Raw genomic sequence first — 21,331 nt, 5'->3', positions numbered from 1 at the left:
TGGCTTCAACATCAGAAATTTATTTTCTCACCATTCTGGAGCTGGAAGTCCAAGATCAAGGTGCTGGCAGGGTTGCTTTCTTCTGAGGCCTCTCTCCTTCGCTTGCAGATGGTCACCCTCCTGATGACTCTTCACATGGTTGTACCTCTGCGCACACAAGCACTCTGATGTTTATTTGTGTGTTGTAATTACTACTGCCATATATATATATATATATATAGAGAGAGAGAGAGAGAGAGAGTACAACATGACATTTTGAAATACATATACATAGTGAAATGATTACTACTGGCAAGCAAATTAACATATTCATTCACATAGTTATTATACAATTTTTTGGTGTGGCAAGAGCACCTATAATCTACTCTCCTAGCAAATTTTTATTATGCAATGATTGACTATAGATTTTATGTTGTACATTAGATCTCTAGACTTATTAGTCCCACATAACTACAACTTTGCACCCTTTGACCTACATCTTCCCATTTCCCCCATCATCCCTGGTAACTACTTGTTACTCTGTTTTTATGCATTCAACCTTTTCCTTTCTGTATCTGATTTATTTTACTTAGTCTCATGTCTTTCAGGTTCATCCACCTGACACTTAAGTTGTTTTCATTTCTGTGCTGTTGTGAGTAATGCTGCAATGAACATGGCAGCACAGATATCTCTACAAGGTGCTGATTTCATTTCCTTTGGGTATATATCTACAGAGGGATTGCTGGGTCAAATGAAAACCCTGTTTTTAAAGTTTTGAAAAACCTCCATACTGTTTTCCATAATGAATATACTAATTTTCATTCCCACCAACAGTATACAAAGGTTTCCTTTTCTCGATACCCTTGTCAATACTTGTTATCTCTTGTCTTTTGATAATATTCCTGACAGATGTAAAGTGAAATTTCATTGTTGTTTTAATTTGCATTTCTCTCATTGGGAAAGCACCTTTTCATATACCCGTTGCCCATTTTTATGTCTTCCTTGGAGAAATGTCTATTCAGATCCTTTGCACATCTTTTAATTTTTTATTTTATTTTATTTATTTATTTATTTATTTATTTATTTATTTATTTTTTGAGATGGACTCTCACTCCTGTTGCCCAGGCTGGAGTGCAATGGCACGATCTTGGCTCACCGCAACCTCCGCCTCCCAGGTTGAAGCAATTCTCCTGCCTCAGCCTCCCGAGTAGCTGGGACTACAGGCATGCACCACCACATCCGGCTAATTTTGTATTTTTAGTAGAGATGGGGTTTCTCCATGTTGGTCAGACTGGTCTCGAACTCCATACCTCAGGTGATCCGCCCACCTCAGCCTCCCAAAGTGCTGGGATTACAGGCATGAGCCACTGCACCCGGCCCTTTGCACATCTTTTAATCAAGTTATTTGTGTTTTATTTTTTTCTACTGAGTTGTGTGAATTTCTTACATATTTTGGTTATTAACCCTTTATCAGCTATATGGTTCACAAATACTTTTTCTTAATCTATAAGTTGAGTTTTCATTTTGTTGTCTCTTTTGATGTGCAGAAGCCTTTTAGTTTGATATATCCCTACATGTTTATTTTTGCTTTTGTTGCATGAACTTTTGGTGTGATACCCAAAAAACCATTGCTAAGGATGGTATAAAGAGACTTTTCTTTCATCATGTTTTTTTTTCTTTTCTTTTTTTTTTTTTTTTTTGAGACAGTCTTGCTCTGCAGTCCAGGCTGGAGTGCAGTGGCGCAATCTTGGCTCACTGCAACCTCCACCTCTCAGGTTCAAGTGATTCTCCTGCCTCAGCCTCCAGAGTAGCTTTTTTTATGTATGGTGAAAGATAAAGTTCTTAAATTCATTCTTTTGCCTGTGGATATCCAGTTTTCCCAACAGCACTGGAGAAACTATCCATTCCTCATTGTGCATTATTGGTGCCCTTGTTGAAAATTAGTTAACCATATATGCTTGAGTTTGTTTCTGGGCCCTTTATTCGGTTGTGTTAGTCTGTGTGTTGGTTTTTATGGCAGCACAATAGTGCTTTGTTTACTATATCTTTGTAACATAATGTTTTTTGTTTGTTTGTTTGCTTGTTTGTTTGTTTTTGAGACAGAGTCTCGCTATGTCACCAGGTTGGAGTGCAGTGGTGTGATCTCAGTTCACTGCAGCCTTCACCTCCCGGGTTCAAGCGATTCTCCTGCCTCAGTCTCCTGAGTAGCTGGGACTACAGGTGCGTGCCACCACGCCCAGCTAATTTTTGCATTTTTAGTAGAGACAGGGTTTCACCGTGTTGGCTAGGATAGTCTTGATCTCCTGACCTCGTGATCCACCTGCCTTGGCCTCCCAAAGTGCTGGGATTACAGGCGTGAGCCACCGTGCCTGGCCAGTAATATAATTTAAAATTAGGACATATGATGTCTTCAACTTTGTTTTTCTTTATCAATATTGCTTTGGCTACTTGAAGTCTTTTGTGGTTCCCTGCAAATTTTAGAGTTTTTTTGTTTGTTTGTTTAAGTGAAAAATGCCATTGGAATTTTTATAGAGATTGCACTGAATCTGTATACCACTTTAGATAGTATGGACATTTTAACAATATTAGTTTTCCGAATCCATGGGCATGGAGTATCTTCCCACATATTTGTGTCTTCTCCAATTTCTTTCATCAATGTTTTACAGTTTTCAGTGTAAAGATTCTTCAACTCCTTGATGAAATGTATTCCTAAGTAGTTTATTATTTCTAATGCTGTCATAAATGGGATTGTTTTCTTGACTTATTTTTTGCATAAGTCTTTATTGACGTAAAGACATGCAACTGATTTTTGTATGTTGATTTTTCATCCTGCAACTTGACTGAACTCATTAATTCATTCTTAAGGTTTTGGTGCTGTCTTTAGGGTTTTCTACGTATAGGATCATGTCTTCTGCAAATAGGGATAATTTTACTTATTTTCCGATTTGAATACCCTTTGTTTCTTTTTACCGTCTGATCGCTCTTGCTAGTACTTTCAGTACTATATTTGATACCCGCACAACGGGTGGGTTTGATTGCTTGGCAGGTGACAGTCTAATGACCACAACCAAGAAAGGTTTAACAAGGGGATTTTATTACTTTTAACAAGTACAGAGACCACTAGGGAAGTTCCCAAAGCAGTGACTCTCCAAAGAAAGATGAAAACAGGGCTTTTATTAGGCTGATTAGCTGAGTCATTGCATACAGAGGTGGAGTAAAGGCAGCACAGGAGCAGTTGCTGATCATGCTTCCACATCTATGCGTAGAAAATGGTGAATAGACACCTCTCTGGGTGAGGTTTTTAGTATACTAATGAGGAGAGGTCACCAAAGTTCATCCCCAATTCAGGCATGTATGGATCCAACTGGTTTTCTGGGGCAGAGCTTCTTCCTGGAATTTTTTGAAACAAGACCTCAAGGTGCAACAGTTGCAAGTAGGCACTTTTTCCACAGTGTGTACCAGAAAACCCAGGGACTATGGGTTACAAATCCCCCTCTGAGACATTCTACTCCTCATTCTTAGAGCTGGAGGTCATTGGTCTGTAACTACTTCATGTAGACCAGGGGCATTGAGTCCCCCTAAAGTTAGAAGAGTGAAACTCTTGCGCTACTGAGTTCAAGTAAGTTTTGGGGTCACCTGGAGTTGTTCAAAGGGGCCGATATTTTTGTTGTAATACAAGCTAGAGATGAAACTGTTGAAGTCTGGAAGACACAAAGTTTGCTATCACTTTAAATATTCAAAGACCAAAAAGTAACAGGGGAACAGTGGTCACTAGTATCCCCAACAGAGGAAGAACCCAGGTGAGGTGAGGTATAGTGGACTTGACTGTCTTGCAAACCTTGTTGCTTGAGCTACCCTTCTGGTTGAAGGAATGCAGCCATTCTGTGTATCTGAATATTTCTTTTACGTTAACCTCTGTTTTCCCAGAGGTGCTTACCCAGGTGCAACAGAAGGTACTGGTGACTGCATATACCCCTCCCTGTTCTGCTAGTAAATAGTCTAAGGCCAATTGATTGTCCAACCCTACACTGTCTAGTGAATTTGGAGAAATATGCACATTTTCGAGAGCCTCCCTGTGTTAGCTGCCAAAGTGTTGGATGATAGGGTGAAATTTTTTTAGGGTGATCTCATGGCATGCAAACCCCCCAAGGGGCAGCCAGCCCTACAGCAAGTCTGGTGTCTGACAAGATTAGTCCAATAGTCCTTTTGGGTCTATTATAGTGGTTGGTTTCGTTATGGACTATTATCCAGATGAGCCCCTGTAGGCTCTCAGTGCACTGTCCTAGGTATATTACATTATGTACAACAGAGTAATCCACTGCAAGTTGTGGAGGGGAGGAAACGGTTTAACCAACCAAGTAATTAGGGACCCCAAAGGGGAGAAGTAGTCTCATAACACTGAGAAGATAAGGATTCTCCACAAATCTCCGCTAAGTAAAAGTAAAATCTCCGTTAAGATTTATTTTTCCAATGGAGCTCTTCCCACAGCTCGAGGAGTGCTATATGATAGTCTGCAATATGCAGGGGGTTGTTTATCTCTTACCAAATTTTACATTGATTGTGACATTTGGTGTTAGGGTCTATCGAGTCCCCATAGCTGTCTGTGAGGGCACACCAATGGGTGGTGTTTAGAATGCAAAGTTTAGTGAGGTCAAAGGCAAGGAGGGTAGACATCAGACTTGCCTCCGTTACCTTCTTGTTCTGAATGCATTTGGTGCTTTTCTCTTTTTTCTGAACAATTTAAATAAATGAGGTCTACTTTCATGGTGACATTGCCCTTAGGGGTGAGGTCCACACAACCCACAGACAGGGAAGGGCCCCTTTATGCTGAGATAGGTTCAGGCAGTATTTTGGATCCCCTTCTTTCCACCATGTTGTTAATGTTCCCCTGCAAAGGGTAAGCAACAGGCCACTCCATCTGAGTCTGGGGATACGCATGGCATATTCAACATTCAGACAGATTATCTCTACCAGCTATAACATGGGAGAAGTTTACTATTGCACTGGCCTCCCAGAGACCACTGGCCACGGGAACTAAGAGGCCCAAGAAGCATAAGGAAAAGACAGGGTTCATTTTAAGGTGTCATATGGAGGGCTTTACTATCAATTGAGGACCTAACAGAGTGAAAGAGGGCGATAAGCATAGGGGTTCCTACAAGGGTGAGAAAGATGCCTAGTATGTTGAGAGAATGGCAAGGGCACATTTTAGTTATATGAGCCTTTTCTTCTGAAAACCAATTTGATATCTCTGACAGGTTCACAAGTGTGTGCTGGGGAGGGGTCCTCTAGGGGCTCCTGGGCTTTCTTCTCTCGTGAGTGATGAATCCAAGGTGTTACCCTCTGGAGTTTAAGGGAAGAATGAATACCTAGAAGCATTTGGCCAGGCCTTGTCCATGCAGGCTGAGCTGGTCCAGGGTGAGGCCAGTCTTTCAGTTCTTGATGTATACCCAGTCTCTTGGCTTGTACAGGTCAAGCTTACCTCAGTGGGGTTTGGGAGACTGCGGTTGCCTTAATGGTTGAGAGCAGAAAAGACACATGCACTCAGATGAAATGTGCATTCCCATTCAGAAACTGTCAAAAGAGAAGCATCTGCCTCCTAGCTTCTGAGAGTTCCCACTCAGGGTTACGCTAACTGGGAGAGGAGGATTGATGCTGGGAGTGGGAATAGGAAGCCCCTGGTACTTTGGCTGTGGAAGTGACTTCTCTTGTAGAGGTGGGGAAGGCCCAGGTGGTTGGGATGACAGCCGTCCTCTCTCTGTCCTCTTGTTTCCTGAGGTTTATGGAGCAGAGGAAGTCCTCCTCATCTGGGGGGCTCTCTAGGATTGGGAGCACTTTCTCTGGCAGTTTAGTGGGAGATCTGGGTGGTCCCACCTAGAGAGTGCAAAGCCTGCACTATATCTATAGGGTCCTTTTCTGGTACAGGGCCATAAAACACTGGACATAGGGTATCACATCCCATTTCTCTTATCCCTTACAGAAAAGATCTAGCTGTAGAATGATATGGTAATTAAATGACCTGATATTCCACCATGGTTCCTTGCTAGGGCCCACTACAGCCAGGCTGTATTGCAGAAGAAAATCATCTGCTTTTCAGTCATTGGGGAATACCCAAAGATCTTCCAGCGTTAGCGAATGCACCCTAATGGGCCTTTCTCCGGGAGAGAGGTTGGGTTCCTGATACCTTTGGGTCCTCATTCAGGGCTGATCATAGGTCCCAAGGGGTTTAAGTAAAAAGGTATTGGCTATACTGATATGCGATCATTACTTCTCTGATGTGTAAAAGAAAAATAAGCAGATGTGCGAGGGTAAGCTGGTGGGGCCCTAATGCAGCCCTGCATGCTCCCCACAAACTCCAACTGTGCTGCCTACCTACCCAGGCATCGGGCACAGTAGCTGCCCCTTCTTTTAAAAACATATCTGAAAACATACCCAGAATGTACCCAGGTAGTAAGAGCCTCTTCTCCTAAGTTAAAATTTTCCCAGCCTGTCAAGGTTGAGGGTTTCTGGGCATACTTGGGTCCCTTCTGGTTTTGGGAAATGTCTCGCCCACCACACACACCTAAAGACCTTAAACCCATCTTTTTGGAAAAAAAAAATTATCTTCACAGTTAATTTCACTGTTTGTTAGCCAGATCTAGATTACCAGTGACCACAAGGGATATGTCTCTCAATCCCCCAGGGCACCAACCAGCCAAAGACAGGGTTTGTTTGATCGCTTGGGTGACAGTCTAATGACCACAACCAAGGTGGATTTAACAAGGGGTTTTATTATTTGCAACAAGTAAAGAAAATGTTGGGGATAGTTCTCAAAGCAGTGCCTCCCCGAAGAGAGGTGAAAAGAGCCTTTCATGAGGCTGGTTATCAGAGTCATTGCATTTAGAGGTGGAGTAGCGGCAGCACAGGCACAGTTGCTGATCATGCTTTTTCATATGTCACATGTATAAAAATGGACAATAAACTCCTCCCTGGGTGGGGTTTTTAGCATGTTTGGTGGTGAGAATTTGCCAAAGTTTATCTCCAAATCAGGCATCTCTGGATCTGACTGTTTTTTGTTGTTCTGGGGCTGAGCTTCTTCCTAGAACTTTTTGAAACAACAAGAACTCAATGTGCAGTGGTTGCAGGTAGGTACTTTTTCACAGTGTGTACCCCAAAACCCACAGACTATGGGTTATATGTTGAATAGAAGAGGTGAGAATGGGCATCCTTGTCTTGCACTGAATCTTAGAAGAAAAATTTTCAAATATTCACTATTGATTATGATGTTAGCTGCGGGCTTTTCATAAATGGCCTGTGAGGAAATTTTCCTTCTATACCTAATTTGTTGAGAATTTTTCTCATGATAGGATGTTGAATTTTGTCAAATGCTTTTTCTATATCTATTGAGATGATCATATAGTTTTTGTCCTTTATTCCATTAATGTAGTGAATCACAGTTATTGATTTGGGTAAGTTGAACCATCCTTGTATTCCAGGGATATATCCCACTTAATTGTGGTGAAAGATCTTTTTAATTTACAGTTGAAAATAATTTGCTAGTATTCTGTTGAGGATTTTTGTACCTTTATTCATTAGTAATATTGGCCTGTAGTTTTCTTTTCATGTAGCGTATTTTTCTGGCTTTGGTATCATGGTAATGATGGCCTTGTAAAATGAGTTAGTATTCCCACCTCTTCAGTTCTTTGGAAGAGTTTGAGAAGGATTGATTCTAGTTCTTTAAATGTTTGGCAGAATTCAGCCATGCAGCTTTCTGGTTCTGGACTTTTCTTTGTTGCAAGCTGTTTACTGCTACGGTTTCTTTTGTTGTTGTTGTTATTGGTCTACTCAGGCTTTCTGTTTCTTCTTATAAGTACACCAGGCAGATTGGATTCAGATTCCTTCGTACAATCTCGTTTTAACTTAATCACCTCCTAAAAGATCTTTTCTCGAAATGTGATTATATTTTGAGGAACTAGGATTAGGACTTCAACATACAAATTTTGAGAGAACACAATGTAGCTTGTAACACATGACTTACTGAGGCAGGAGAGGTAGTCAAGGAAATGATCATGTTTCCTGGCAGCAGCAACTGTAGTGACCATACATCCGACACAATAAACCTTAGCATTCTCATTGTAATTGAGCTCATTCAAGCAAAGCTATCTTCAGTAGGGACTTTCCCTTCTAGAAAGTATATGCATTTTCATTTCACCTTTCCTTTTGCTCATTGTAATAGTAAAAGACACACCCCTGGGTGGAGATTTAAGATGCTAATGAAATATGCCATGTATGAGCAAGCATGTACAGCTACTGTGCATGTGCACCCAGAAGACCACCCAGAACATGCTTGCTAGTAACACCTCTTGCCACCTCCTCTTGAATAATCATGTAAAACTCCAATAAAGGGAGTTTCTCAAGCAATAATTAATGTTGCCTCATCCTTACAAGCTGCTCACCCTGAATCCTCTCTTTCAGGGTGTACTGTCTATTCTGCACCTAACTTTCAAAATATTCTTTTTCTTTTGCAGTGAATTATTCTATACTGCATCTCCTTTGCTGTGTGTCTCATTTAAATTCTTTTAAGCCAAAAAGAAAAGAACCGAGGTATCACAACAGCCATCAACATTTCCAGACTATTCACTAAAGCATGAAGCATTGTAAAGTAAAGCATGTCCCCTCCTCAAATGCTCTCGAAATAATCACCACAAAAAAAAGATTAATGACAAAATGGGAGATATTGAAATGTAGGGAATAGTATTGTAGTAACTTTACTGAAAATAGTCATTACTATCTGTTTAGTAACTTATGATTTACAAAAACCTTTTGCAAATATTATGCCATGTTTTTTCTCACAATAATCTTGCAAGGAAAAAATGAGATTAGGTGAGCAAGTCATACTAAATGTAAGAACTGTCAGTTGCGTCCATGTGAAGAGACCACCAAACAGGCTTTGTGTGAGCAATAAAGCTTTTTAATCACCTGAGTGCCGGTGGGCTGAGTCCAAAAAGAGAGTCAGCTAGGTTTGCTTTTGTGAGTTTATACAATGGTTTAGTCAGGATGGTTAAAACTAGGTATCCAAAGGCAGAAGTACCTAACCATGCCTAGGAAGGAAAGCAGTTGTTATTTTGTGGAAGGGGTTGGAGTTTGGGAGATTAACCAGACACGATCAGCAGGGAGAGCACGTGTGTTTTCATGAAGAATTATGCTGAGATAGGTAACCGATGAGGAAGAAATTTGGGCTTGACTAAAGTAATGGGGGCTGTCCGTGAAGCCTTGCAGCAGTACAGCCCAGGTAAGTTGCTGAGGCTGATGGGTGTCAGGGTCAAGAACAAATTGCATTTAATTTTTGAAATAATCATGTGCCAGGTGTTTTATAAATGTTATTTCAATGAATCCTGATAACTCCTTTTGCCTACTTTATATAAGAGGAAACCAAAACTCAGGATAGAATAGGAAACTAATTTCTTTCTTAAAAGATCCTTTCATGATAAGTCTCATGGAATTATATATGCATATGTGTATATATATATGTTTGTGTGTGTGTGTGTGTGTGTGTGTGTGTGTGTGTGTTTAATTTAGAGAGCATATAACATCTATAAGTCCTAGAATGAAATTCTGCTGAAGATATAGTGAGGCTTTACTAATTATTCTTATTATTTGTAACTTCAAGTATTTGAGGTACTTTTTCTGGTTTCACTGAAATCATCTGTGAAACGATTTCTGCTCCATATCCATTAGCAAATCATAATAATTAAAAGGATGATTGGCTTATTTTCTTAGGTATTAACATGAAACTTATAATGGAATAGCATAATTGATGCAGACCTTTTCAGTGAATAAGGTGGGGCAATGGATATACAAGAAACTCATTAAAGGCTAAGAGTCCAGATAGACGATTTTCAGACCCTGTATCTCATTTAGCAAGTGCTTATTGAGCCTTAACCAAGAATAGTTATAATCTTAAAGATGTTGAATCCTGGCCCTTGAGTTTACAGTTTGCTAAAGGGTAAAGGATAAAAATATAGTTATAATTATTGATATTTTTGGCAGCTGTCAGTTTGGTGCCCATCATGAAATTCAAGATGTGATCAGTCCAGGTGCGGTGGCTCATGCCTGTAATCCCAGCACTTTGGGCGGCTGAGGCCGGCAGATCACTTGAGGTCAGGAGTCCGAGACCAGCCTGGCCAACATGGTGAAGCCCCGTCTCTACTAAAAATATAAAAATTAGCGGGGCATGGTGGCAGGCGCCTGTAATCCCAGCTACTCGGGAGGCTGAGGCAGGAAAATCGCTTGAACCCGGGAGGCAGAGGTTGCGGGGGTGAGACAAGATCGTGCCATTGCACTCCAGCCAGGGGGACAAGAGCAACACTTCGTTTCAAAAAAAAAAAAAAAAATTAGCCGGGCCTGGTGGCACTGACCTGTAGTCCCAGCTACTCGGGAGGCTGAGGCAGGAGAATCGTTTGAATCCAGGAAGCCGAGGTTGCAGTGAGCCGAGATTGTGCCATTGCGTTCCAGCCTGGGTGTTGCAGCGAGACTCCGTCTCTAAATAAATAATAACAATATTTGATCACATAATAGAAATCCACCTGCACAGGCAACCACTCTTCTTCCTTTGACTATCCTTTTCCCACTGCACTCAGAACTCCCTTGTCTTTTATTGAAACTTTGTATTGAAATCTCTTCATGCTCCCTGGATCTAGCTACCAAAATTACTTAGGTACTTGAGAGCTATTGAAATGGAAATTTATTAAAATGCTAGGGTTACTTGTCTCTGCCTCTAAGATACATTCTCCCAGTGGAATTCTAGATTTTAGAAATTATTTCAGAAGTTTTTTGAATGAAGGCTTCAATTATTTATATTGTCTTACACTCCCACGTGTGCGCGCACACACACACACGCGTGCACACACACACGATGTCTGTTACAAAAATGACCAATTCATTTTGAACATGCTGTATTTTGTATATTTAGAATTTCATATACAACATTTATGTTTAAATAGGTAACGGTATTATTCAGATATGCCCCCAATGTTTTGGCTCCCACTTAGAGTCCTAATCTTTCTACCTGCTATTTCCATATCCCTGTCTATGCTGTAGCTTAACTGGACAGTTCTCCACCCTTGAAAATGCCCTGTATTATTTTACTTTAATATTACTCCACCCAGAAAATGAGAGCAGCATATAGAACTCTTACTTTTCCACTGGGCCAGGAAATGCGCTAGTGCCCTTGGGTGAACTTACACACAATACAGTTGCAGATCATGGTATAAAGTGGGGTTAGTTACAGGTGACTGTTTAAAAGAAGGCAGATTCTGTCCTGGGGGAGTAGTAAAGTTAACAAAAAGATTTCCAGAACATCGTTGGAGCATGATAGGGAATCGAATTCCAAGCAATATACAGAGATCTAAATGGACACAGTCAGTCATATGCTGACTTCAGGGTTATAAGGTCCCCGTCCTATTTCCTGAAATGAAGCTTAAGCCAGGGCAGGTCCTGCCTTCGAGAAATGGATGTATCTGATGTGATAGCTCTTGCCCTCTCATCTCCTGCCAGTGCCTCTCACTGGCTGGAGCCACATGGAAGGCAGCAGGCAAAGGAGGGCCAGGTTAATGCATGACTTTAAGGATCAACCTTCTGGGGGTAAAAGAATGAGAAGAAGAGAGAATGGACCTGGAAAGGTCAGCAGTTAATTTGCAGCTCAGAGAAGAACAGAAAGGACTGACTCTAGTATCGATTGCCTTTTATCTCTAAACATTTCAGAATCTATTATTAGAAGGTAAGATCTTTTCTTTTTGAAAACTAATTCATGTTTTTTTTAAAAAATGAATGTTTTCAAAGACAATTTAAAATGAAAACAAAAATGCCAACATACTCCTAAAAAAGGCTTTGTGCCAAAGAAAGATAAGTTTATTATTTTAAGGAGATAGTATAGTTGCTTTGAAAAGTCACATATAATTTTGTAAATAGGGAAGCTTATTTCAACCTAACTAATTTGCATTTGAAGATATGTATTATGTGGTATCTATTAAACATTTTATCTTAACTATAAATATTTGACTTTGTCAATAGCAATAATGATGGTTATCATTTGTTGAGTATTTATTATATGATAAGTGCATAACTGTTACCTGAAGAGGTTAAACCCATTTGATCTCTTTGAATGACTCAGCCCAGGTTAAACATTTAAGAAACGAAAAAGAGGCATTTGGACTCATGTCTAGGGCAATCCAGTGCCGGTAAACTTTACTGCCCTCTGACAGACCTTTTCTATTAGCACTTGTCTCCCTATCACGTTGTATTTCTTCGTTCATCACTTCAAGTAGGCTCTAGGGAATACTTTCAATTCCAGTTCCCTTTTGTCTCTCTGTTACAGTTGCTTGTCAATATTTGTATCAATTCAACTGTTTATTTTCTTTACTCCTACACCACAAATTCTGTATACTGCCAAAGAAGTCCAAATAAACAAAAAGATTGATTTCACTATAAGTTTATTTTTTCCATCCTTTCAATCTCCACTGGATTCTCAGTACATAGGAAATATTTCATGTTTCTCAGTAATTCTCTCTCCATTTCTTCTTGGGAGATGTTTTAAAATTCAACTTTTCTCCACTTGCAAACTAACTCCCTCTTCTACTCAAAAATTCAGCAATGACTTTTAGATTAACAGAAGCCGCTAAAATAAAATTTTCTTAAGTTCTTGCCACCAATTTCTACAAAGATTTTTGCTTCTGCACTCATTTTTTTCCACTCTGCCTTTGTCTCTCTGTCTCCATCTCTGTTTCTGGGTCTTTCTGCTACAGTTAAGGAGGTATTCTGTTCCTTTCTAAGTCACATCCCTCCAATGTGCAAAGGATTTCATCCCTTTTTGCCTTCTCGAGAAACTATCCCCCTCTCTCAAGCAATTATATTTAATTTCTAATTCTCATGAATTTACCATAAGCATTTAAATATGTTAAGGGGCCTGATGCGGTAGCTCATGCCTATACTCCCAGCATTTTGGGAGGCTGAGGTGGGCGGATCACCTGAAGTCAGGAGTTCCAGACCAGCCTGGCCAACATGGTGAAATCCCATCTCTACTAAAAATACAAAAATTAGCTGGGCGTGGTGTCACACGCCTGTAATCTCAGCTACTCTGGAGCCTGAGGCATGAGAATCGCTTGAACCTGGGAGGCAGGGGTTGCAGTGAGATCACACCAGTGCACTCCAGCCTGGGCTCCAGAGTGAGACTGTATCTTAAAAAAAAAAAAAAAATTTAAGGATTTTCCTATTTTAAGCACACACACACACACACACACACACACATATACAGAGAGAGAGAGAGAGAGAGAGACAGAGCACAATACAATTATTTTCTTCAATTCTAAGTATTCCTCCAGCTACTGCAGCTAAACTTTTCTCTTTATAGACAGGCTTTTTATGAAAAAGTTTATACTCCTGACTTTATTTTCTCATCTCTGAATTCAGTCGGCCTTCTCCACCTAAAACTTCACTCTTGTCTTCTTCCTGGGACCTTTCTCAATTCTGATTTTGCTTGACCTTTTCCTAGCACTTGATGTTATTGAACATTTCCTTATATTTTGGCTTTTATAACATTGCACTTTTCCCATTATATACCAATATGTCAGGTCATTTCATGTCAGTCATTTTTGTGGAATTTGTCCATTTTTACATATTGGACATCGTAATGATGTCCTTCACACTTTCTTCTGCTGCTTCCTACACTTACATTGGATTATCAAAATTCCCATGACTAATTTCCACTGTATGCTGATGATTCCCAAATCTTTATCTCCATTCCATATCTCTATCCTGTGTTTCATGTTGCAGTGCTCCAAACATTTCAAACTTAACATGTTGAAATCTGAACAAACAATTTTCCAAAACCCATATTTCCTCTTGTCTTCTCTAGCACAGTGAATGACAATAGCAACCACCTGGAAGTTCGAGACAGATACCTTAGAGTCATCTTGTCTATTAGACTAGTTACCAATTCTTTCCATTCCTTTATGCCCGTTATTACTCACTGGCAAATAAAATGCCACGTTTTTAAAATTCTACCATCAAAACATGTTACATTTATCACCTTTATCCATTCTCATTGCCATGTTTTCTGCCTTTTTCTAAAGTACATACCACTCTCAAATACGGGCATTATTGCCTCAGTCTCCTCAAGGTACCCATTCTTAATCCATTCTTAACACGTTCTTCCCTATTGAAACCGTTACGTGTGATTGCTTTTAGAATGACTTTTAAAAATAAAATCTGGCCATGTCGCTTGCCTGCTTAAAATTCATTGTTCATAAATCAAAGTTCAGGCTTTTTAATGTGGCTGCAGACCTCTGTTTAGTTGGTCCCCTACTTACGTCTGATCATTTCTCAATCCTTGTTTTATATACTTTAGAAGCAGCCATGCAAGAGTTTCACTTCCTTAAACACAGTGGTTGTGTTTGTGGTGCACTCCCCCGTCCCAGTTGTCCTTCCATTAGTCTCATCTTTCCATTTTCAGATAGGTACCAAGTTTTTTTCAGCCTTTCTTAAAAAGACACACTGAACCGTTCCCACTCTGTATACTTCACCATCTAAAATCTTACTGCTTTGTAATTGCCTGCTTTTCTATCTTTATCTGCCATGAATTATATTGTTCATGGATTATATGCTTTGCAAGGGCAGAAATCTTATCAATTTTATCTATTATTGTATTCCCAGTACTTGGAATGCTGGCAGGCACAATAAATGGTAAATAAATGTTTCTTGAGTGAATTAACAAAAATAGGATGTGTGCCATAAGAAAACTATAATTAAGAATATTTACTCCAGTTGGAGGGAATATTAATATCTAATATGTAAAGTATTCTCATAAACATGTTATGCAATACTAAGAACAACTCTCTGAGTAGGAAGGACTATTGTTTTATGCATGAAAGAACCAAAACAGAAAGTTTGGGATTTGTCCAAGGTCAGAAAGAAAGGGATTTTTAAAAATGCAATTAGGATAACCTCTAACCTCTGCTTCAGTTTTGCTTTTTCTGTCCCACACTGGCTAAAATTTTAAAGTGCTGAAGTATAAAATTTGCATATTTTTTAATCAGACACAAGATTATATGATGCCTAGCAGATTACAACTAACAATAAAACAAGAATAATAGTTACCGCTTATTGGATGTTTGCTATGTTACTTACTAGCTGTCCGTTAACTGTTGTTAGCTTGACTATTTGTTTTGTTTTTAAATTTTTAATTTTTAGTTTTCAAATTGACATAATCATTGTACATATTTTTGGGGCACATAGTGGTTTCAATACATATAATAGTGATCAGATCAGGATAATTAGCATATCCGTCACCTTATACATTCATTATTTCTTTGTGTTGGGAACATTCAATATCATCCTTCTAGCTATTAGAAAATATATAATATATTATTGTTAACTATAGTCATTTTACGGTGGAACAGATCACTAGAATGCATTCCTCCTATCTAGTTATAATTTTGCATCCTTGAAGAAATCTCTCTGCATTCCTCCCTTCCCTCTTCCCTTCCCAACCTTTAGTGTCCTCTGTTCTACTTTTTACTTCTATGAGATCAACTTTTTTAGCTAAAAAACTTGACTATTTGAAAAGAGCTACTTTTGACTCCACTCACTTAGATACTATCCCCAAATGTATTTGTGTTTATAATGAAAACAGTAAACACATGCTACACTTCTGTGAATATGAAATGTCTAGTATTTCAGTTAGCTAATTTATGACTATTCTTTAAGCTTCATTGTAATTCATCTTCAGTCTTACAGTGGAGAAATCCTCATGCTGTGGAAATTGTCAGATTTCTGTGGTTTTATTGTTTAACCAAGTAGCTTTTTTTGAGAGTTGGAAGTAGGGGTGGGGGTATGGATATAAATTTTCAAATTGTACAGGCACTAGATAGTTGAGAGTTGTCACCCAGAAATTGCTAAAAGTAGGAATTTAAAAACATCTTTGAGTTCATTTTTTTCTTCATCTTTTATTCTCTTGATACTTCACTTGCAAATGGATATGAAAACTTGTTTGGGGAGATATTTATTTGCATAAAGAATATTGGTGCAGTCCTTTAACTTTCATTATTTTATAAAACCAGATTGTAATTCTTACCTTCCTATTTATAGCATGTGTGGGAAGTATATTTTATTATAAAGGGGACAGGCTGAAGACCATCTTTGTTTCCGGTTGGGGCATTTCCAGATTGGATAAAATCGAAGGAGAGCCATCTGTTGAACATTTAGTATTCAGAACTGTAGAACTACTCCTGGCATCTGAGTTTGCCAAGTCCTAGCTAAAAATATATATTAAATGGGGTTTGCTTCCTTTTTTTATTGGTTTTGAACTCTTCTGGCAGAGGTTGTATATTCCCTAAGGAGAGAAATGTGAGAAAAAAAATGTAGACATTTATTTTTCATTTTCATTCACAAAACATTTGGTTGAAATATTAACATCAAATATGCCCAGACATTTCTACTTTCATTTCTATGTCTCTCCTGTAAGTTTTTTTAGAAGTTGTTATTAAATAATGATTACCAATTCATTGATTTTGTGTATGTCATAAACACACACACACACACTCTCATACACACACAGAGACACCCCTGTCTGTAGTCACATATTAAGTTGCAATTTTATGATAATGTAATAAAATTGTTAAATTATACTATTTCGCCAGCTCTTGGGAAAGTATTTTTTTTTGCATGTAACTCATCATCATTTACATGCGAAAAAAGAAACAAACAAAATATTTTTATATAGGTTAATAAATATTAATATTCTATCCACAGATATTAATTAATGAATGTCTTCTCTCATGGAGCCAAGGGACCAGTATACCAAAATCAAAACAAACAAACAAACAAAAACAAAGAAAATAACAACAGAGATTTGTTATATTTCTGTTTATTTAGAACCTACCCAAATACCAAACTCTATTTACAGCTTATTGTTATTAGCCATCATACATCTTGTAAAAAATTTGAGAAGCTCACATTCTTTAATAATAATCATTCTGGGACAGCAAACTAGTGTTTAAGGGAAGAATCAACTATTTTAATAATTGGCTCTGGTTTGCCTGGCAAAATATTACATCAAAACTGTTTGTTTGTGAATTATGGAAGGGAGGTTTTAATACAAAGGAATGTCAGTAGGCCCCACCCTGGCCAGTCTTTAACAACAGGATGAGAGGCAAAACATTTGTCCTGACAATACAGCATTGTGAAAAATATTTGACTTATGCACATGCCAAAACTAAAGATTCTTTCCTCTTTAGGAAATAAATAAATAAATCTCTTCACCCTCAAAAGAAATGTTTTTGATAAATGCCAAGAATAAAGAAGGCAGAAGGAAATTGTAAAGAAAATGAGGGAAACAACTGAGTAGTTGAGAGTGATTGTGTGGTAAACAGTGATCAGCTGTTTGCACTCAGAGGGGCAAGAATGACAGTTCAGTTATTTCTAGATGCGCGGAGGTATACACTCTTTTCCAAGAGTCAGGATAAATCAGTGAGCCTTAAAGTAGTAGATTCCGTTGTTGAATTGAATAGTGAATAGCTTTGTTGGTTTTCAGGGACATATGGCTATTTTATTCTGAATTAATGCATATTACCTTAACTGTTTTCTTTTTTTAATGCATTTTAAAATGATAGAGCTCATATAATTGTGAATGTTTGAATACAGAAGAAAAAAAAGGCCTAGAGCACTAGGGAAAGCTTTAAGAAATCAATTAACAGAGCAATATGAAATTATAATTAACTAAATGAAAACTTTTTAAGGAGATAAATAACTTTCCTTTGTATCTTTATGTCATTTTATTTAGATAATTAATGAAAATGGCATCTTTGTTCCTTTGGGTCTTCCTTTTTGTTAGAGAAAATATTTTTACTCTGTGGCAGTTAATTATGCTATATCAACTGAAGATAAAGCTAAAAAGAAGCCATCGTGAAAACCATTAAGGGAAAAATGACAAAATGAATGGAAAAATGGAATGGCTGCCTATACATGAGACTGATAAGTGAAATGTAGTGACATGATACAAAGAACACAAACATATATTTATGTTTGGTTCAAAGTTAGGCTTTTCACACCACTTTCTGTCCTCCTTTGAGCTGTGGGAGTATTCAGTTCATAATAGACTCACAGCGTCTCATTACTACTTAGAACTTAGTTAACATTGCCTTCCTGATGTAATACAATGCCCGGAATTCGATAATCGTTCCTGAAAAAAACAAACAAACAAAAAAAATCACCATTCCTTTTAATAGCTTGAGCCTGTACCAGAATGATAAGTGGAAATTAGTCCTCAAAGTAACCTCAGCTGTTTCATTATTGTGTGCCTCGAGCATCTGGTTATTCAAGGTGAGGCTTCCATGTTCAAGTATGAATCCCTTGGGATCTGCCGCAGGACTCACGGTAGTGCTGCCTGCTTCTCCCACTCTGTGGCTGACTCCCCTGAGGTAGCATTCTGCCAGGCAAAGCTGCCTTTCCTTCCTCCTACTACTGTGACTTCAGAAGGTATGGTTTTCCCTAATTTATCCCAAGTATGAAATGAGTTCCTTTCCTCTTTTTTCCCCCACACGGAACCTAGCCTTTAAGTGTTTAAGGAAGTTTTCTTTGTTTAATAGAAGTACAACATGGAGAAGAATTTGCTGCTACTTTTGTAAGTGTTTTATCTGCCTAAATCTAGGACAATTTATCTCCTCTAAGAATATCCTCAATTGAGCACCCATTCTCCAGACTGTAGGCCTACCTGAAAAACATTTCTCCGTTTTTCCGGGTCAACATCTTCACAAGACTACGCATTATTTCTATGCTGTGCTGGAATTCTTCTTAGTAAAATATATAGCTGCATTTTCTACTCCTATCACAGAAAACTAGCTACTGCTTCCACAGATATAAGAAAACAATATTCTGAAAGGAGTATATTTTCCTAGTTCTAGGTTTTTAAGTGGAAGGTAGTAAAGAATATAAGAACGTGGGTTGTGAAATAAGAGATACTAACGTTTGAATCTCAGTTCCACCATTCACTAGCTATGAACCTCTGTTTTCTCATCTGTAGAGTGGGAATAATTATTGTTCATTTCATATAGAAATTGTAGAAGATATATATACACACATATTTATATATGTTATATAAATATATATACACACATATTTATATATATAACATATTTTATATATATATATATATATATATATAAACATTTTGTGCTGGACATAAATTTTCAGTAACTGTTAGCAAGTTTAAATAAATAAAATCCCGATGTAGGAACTCATAGGCCTAGCTTATGAATGGAAATAAGCCAGGCCAGGCGCAGTGGCTCACGCCTGTAACCCCAACACTTTGGGAGGATGAGGCAGGCGGATCCCTTGAGGTCAGGAGTTTGAGAACAGCCTGGCCAATATGGTGCACCTGTCTCTACTACCTGTCTCTACTAAAAATACAAAAATTATCCGGGCCTGGTGGTGCTGGCCTGTAATCCCAGCTACTTGGGAGGCTGAGGCAGGAGAATTGCCTGAACCCGGGAGGTCAGAGGTTTCAGTGAGCTAAAATCAGACCACTGCACTCCAGCCTAGGCCACAGAGCGAGAGTCTGTCTTGAAATAAAAGACAAAGAAAGAAGCCAGGTTCAGGTTCTAGGCACACCCTCTCCCACAATACCATGCTGCTGTTTTCTCCACTTCAGCCCTCTGTCTTTTGCAAATAGCTGCCGCCAAAATAACACAGATAACTGCACAAAAATATTTCAATTACTTCTAGGGAAAGGAAAACACATAACACTTTTCTTCCAAGGAACATAAAAACTTACAGAGATCATTTTTAAATTTTAAAATGGATTTGTCTTAGTCAAATATGTATTATCAAAGAAAATATTATTTGCATTGAAGTAACTTCCTATTTTCAGATTTTCTTGAACAACTGAGTGTATTTGTTTTATTTTTGCATTAAAGAACAAAACCTGGACTTAGAATTTACTCCAAATTAAGAAATTACGTACCAAAGAGCAGATATTTCTTACACTTTAAATAGTTTTCATTTTACACTTTATCGTCATCAGTGTTGAAAAGAGTAATCCAGATTTAGTCACTTCACTCTATGACATGTGTAAAATCAGCTTATTTGGCCACATACCATTGCATCAGGAAGCCCAGAATCCTTGGATTTTCTTATGGCGAATATTATTAATTTCACTTGCATTTTCTTAAGAAATAGTTTCCCAGCCAACACTATTATGTGAAATTCAACTGTTTCTTTGCATGTTACTAACTGCAATCTTCCTTAAAAGGACTGTTTAGAGTAAGATCAATGTGGAGGGAAATGTAAGTTAGCCACATTATAAGATAGCAGATGAAACTGAATGCAGTTTCTTATATAGAAAGCAACAACAAGCTGCTGTTAAAATGTGAAGATAAGGCCTTCATTCAGAATGAAATTATAGGAAATTAAATATAGAGGGTGGGACCAATCATCAGTACAAGCAACCAACCTGAATCAATATTCTCTTAAGTGTTGGGTCTAAAATCACAGAAACAGCATAACAAAGCGGGATGAATTTTATGACATTGGATCTTGAGTGTTTGAATATATAACATGACTGAAACTTAATTCTATCTCTGAAATAAACAAATTTCATTTAAAATGTCAATTATAATCAACGTGTAGTGATTGCCTGGTCTGAGAATGAGTTGAAGACTGAGTCCAGATTTATGAGAAAAGAGGAACTTAATTGACATTTGCCATGCTATTGCATTAAGAAATGGCAGCAAACTCTTTGCTGATGCTCTTGTTACTCTGTCTCATAAAAGGCTACATTCACAAACCCTAAGAGGTCAGTAAGAATTTTTAAGACAATTTTGAAATGAATTGTTGGTTTGGTTTTGGCACTAACAAGTGACAGTGCCACCAGTATCAGAGACCCATCTGGAAATTATATCTCTGTGATTGAGATAGATTCTCCAGAGTAGGATAACTAGATGGCACTCGTTATTGATGTATTCTATATAATTACCCTGGATCCTGAAATTATGAGTAAAAATTAGTATTTTGGCTATTTTTTATTTTTCATTTTGGTTTACTGACTGGGAAAGACCACAGTGATAAAGGATGTTTGGCTTGTTTGGCACTCCTATTTTTCATTATAAATTGACAAGTAGGAATTCTATTTATAAATTGGTTTATGCATTGATGTCTGGAGAGTTTAGCTAGCCAGAATCATTCCAATTGAGTATATCCTGCTGTGATCTCTGGTTGTGCTGAGAAAATTAAATGATTACCTGTGAAACTGAGGACCCCTAAATTATGACTATCAAGATTGTCTCTGGAAGGCCTCTCCGAGTAGCCAGCCAACAGCACTGCAATG

The 21,331-nt window shown here is 38.2% G+C and overlaps 1 protein-coding gene across 9 annotated transcripts in view; it reads left to right on the top strand.

Annotated features, from left to right (window-relative positions):
• MDGA2 (MAM domain containing glycosylphosphatidylinositol anchor 2) overlaps positions 1–21,331 on the top strand; it is an 835,983-nt gene that overhangs the window by 314,178 nt on the left and 500,474 nt on the right. For 4 of the 9 annotated variants that reach the window (NR_103766.2, NM_182830.4, XM_047431048.1 and 1 more), the window contains exon 1: positions 18,182–18,330. The exons of 4 other annotated variants lie outside the window; for them this stretch is intronic. Coding sequence is in view for 1 of the 5 variants with exons in the window: in XM_011536519.3 (XP_011534821.1) it covers positions 18,342–18,486 (145 nt within the window). In the remaining 4 variants the exon portion in view is untranslated. Of the gene's footprint in view, positions 1–13,282; positions 18,487–21,331 lie in introns of those variants that run through there. One more of the 9 variants, XM_011536519.3, reaches the window with a different exon arrangement.

Source organism: Homo sapiens, chromosome 14 (assembly GCF_000001405.40).
Source record: "Homo sapiens chromosome 14, GRCh38.p14 Primary Assembly".
Classification (NCBI taxonomy): Eukaryota; Metazoa; Chordata; class Mammalia; order Primates; family Hominidae; genus Homo; species Homo sapiens.
This window is presented reverse-complemented; position numbering and strand designations above follow the sequence as displayed.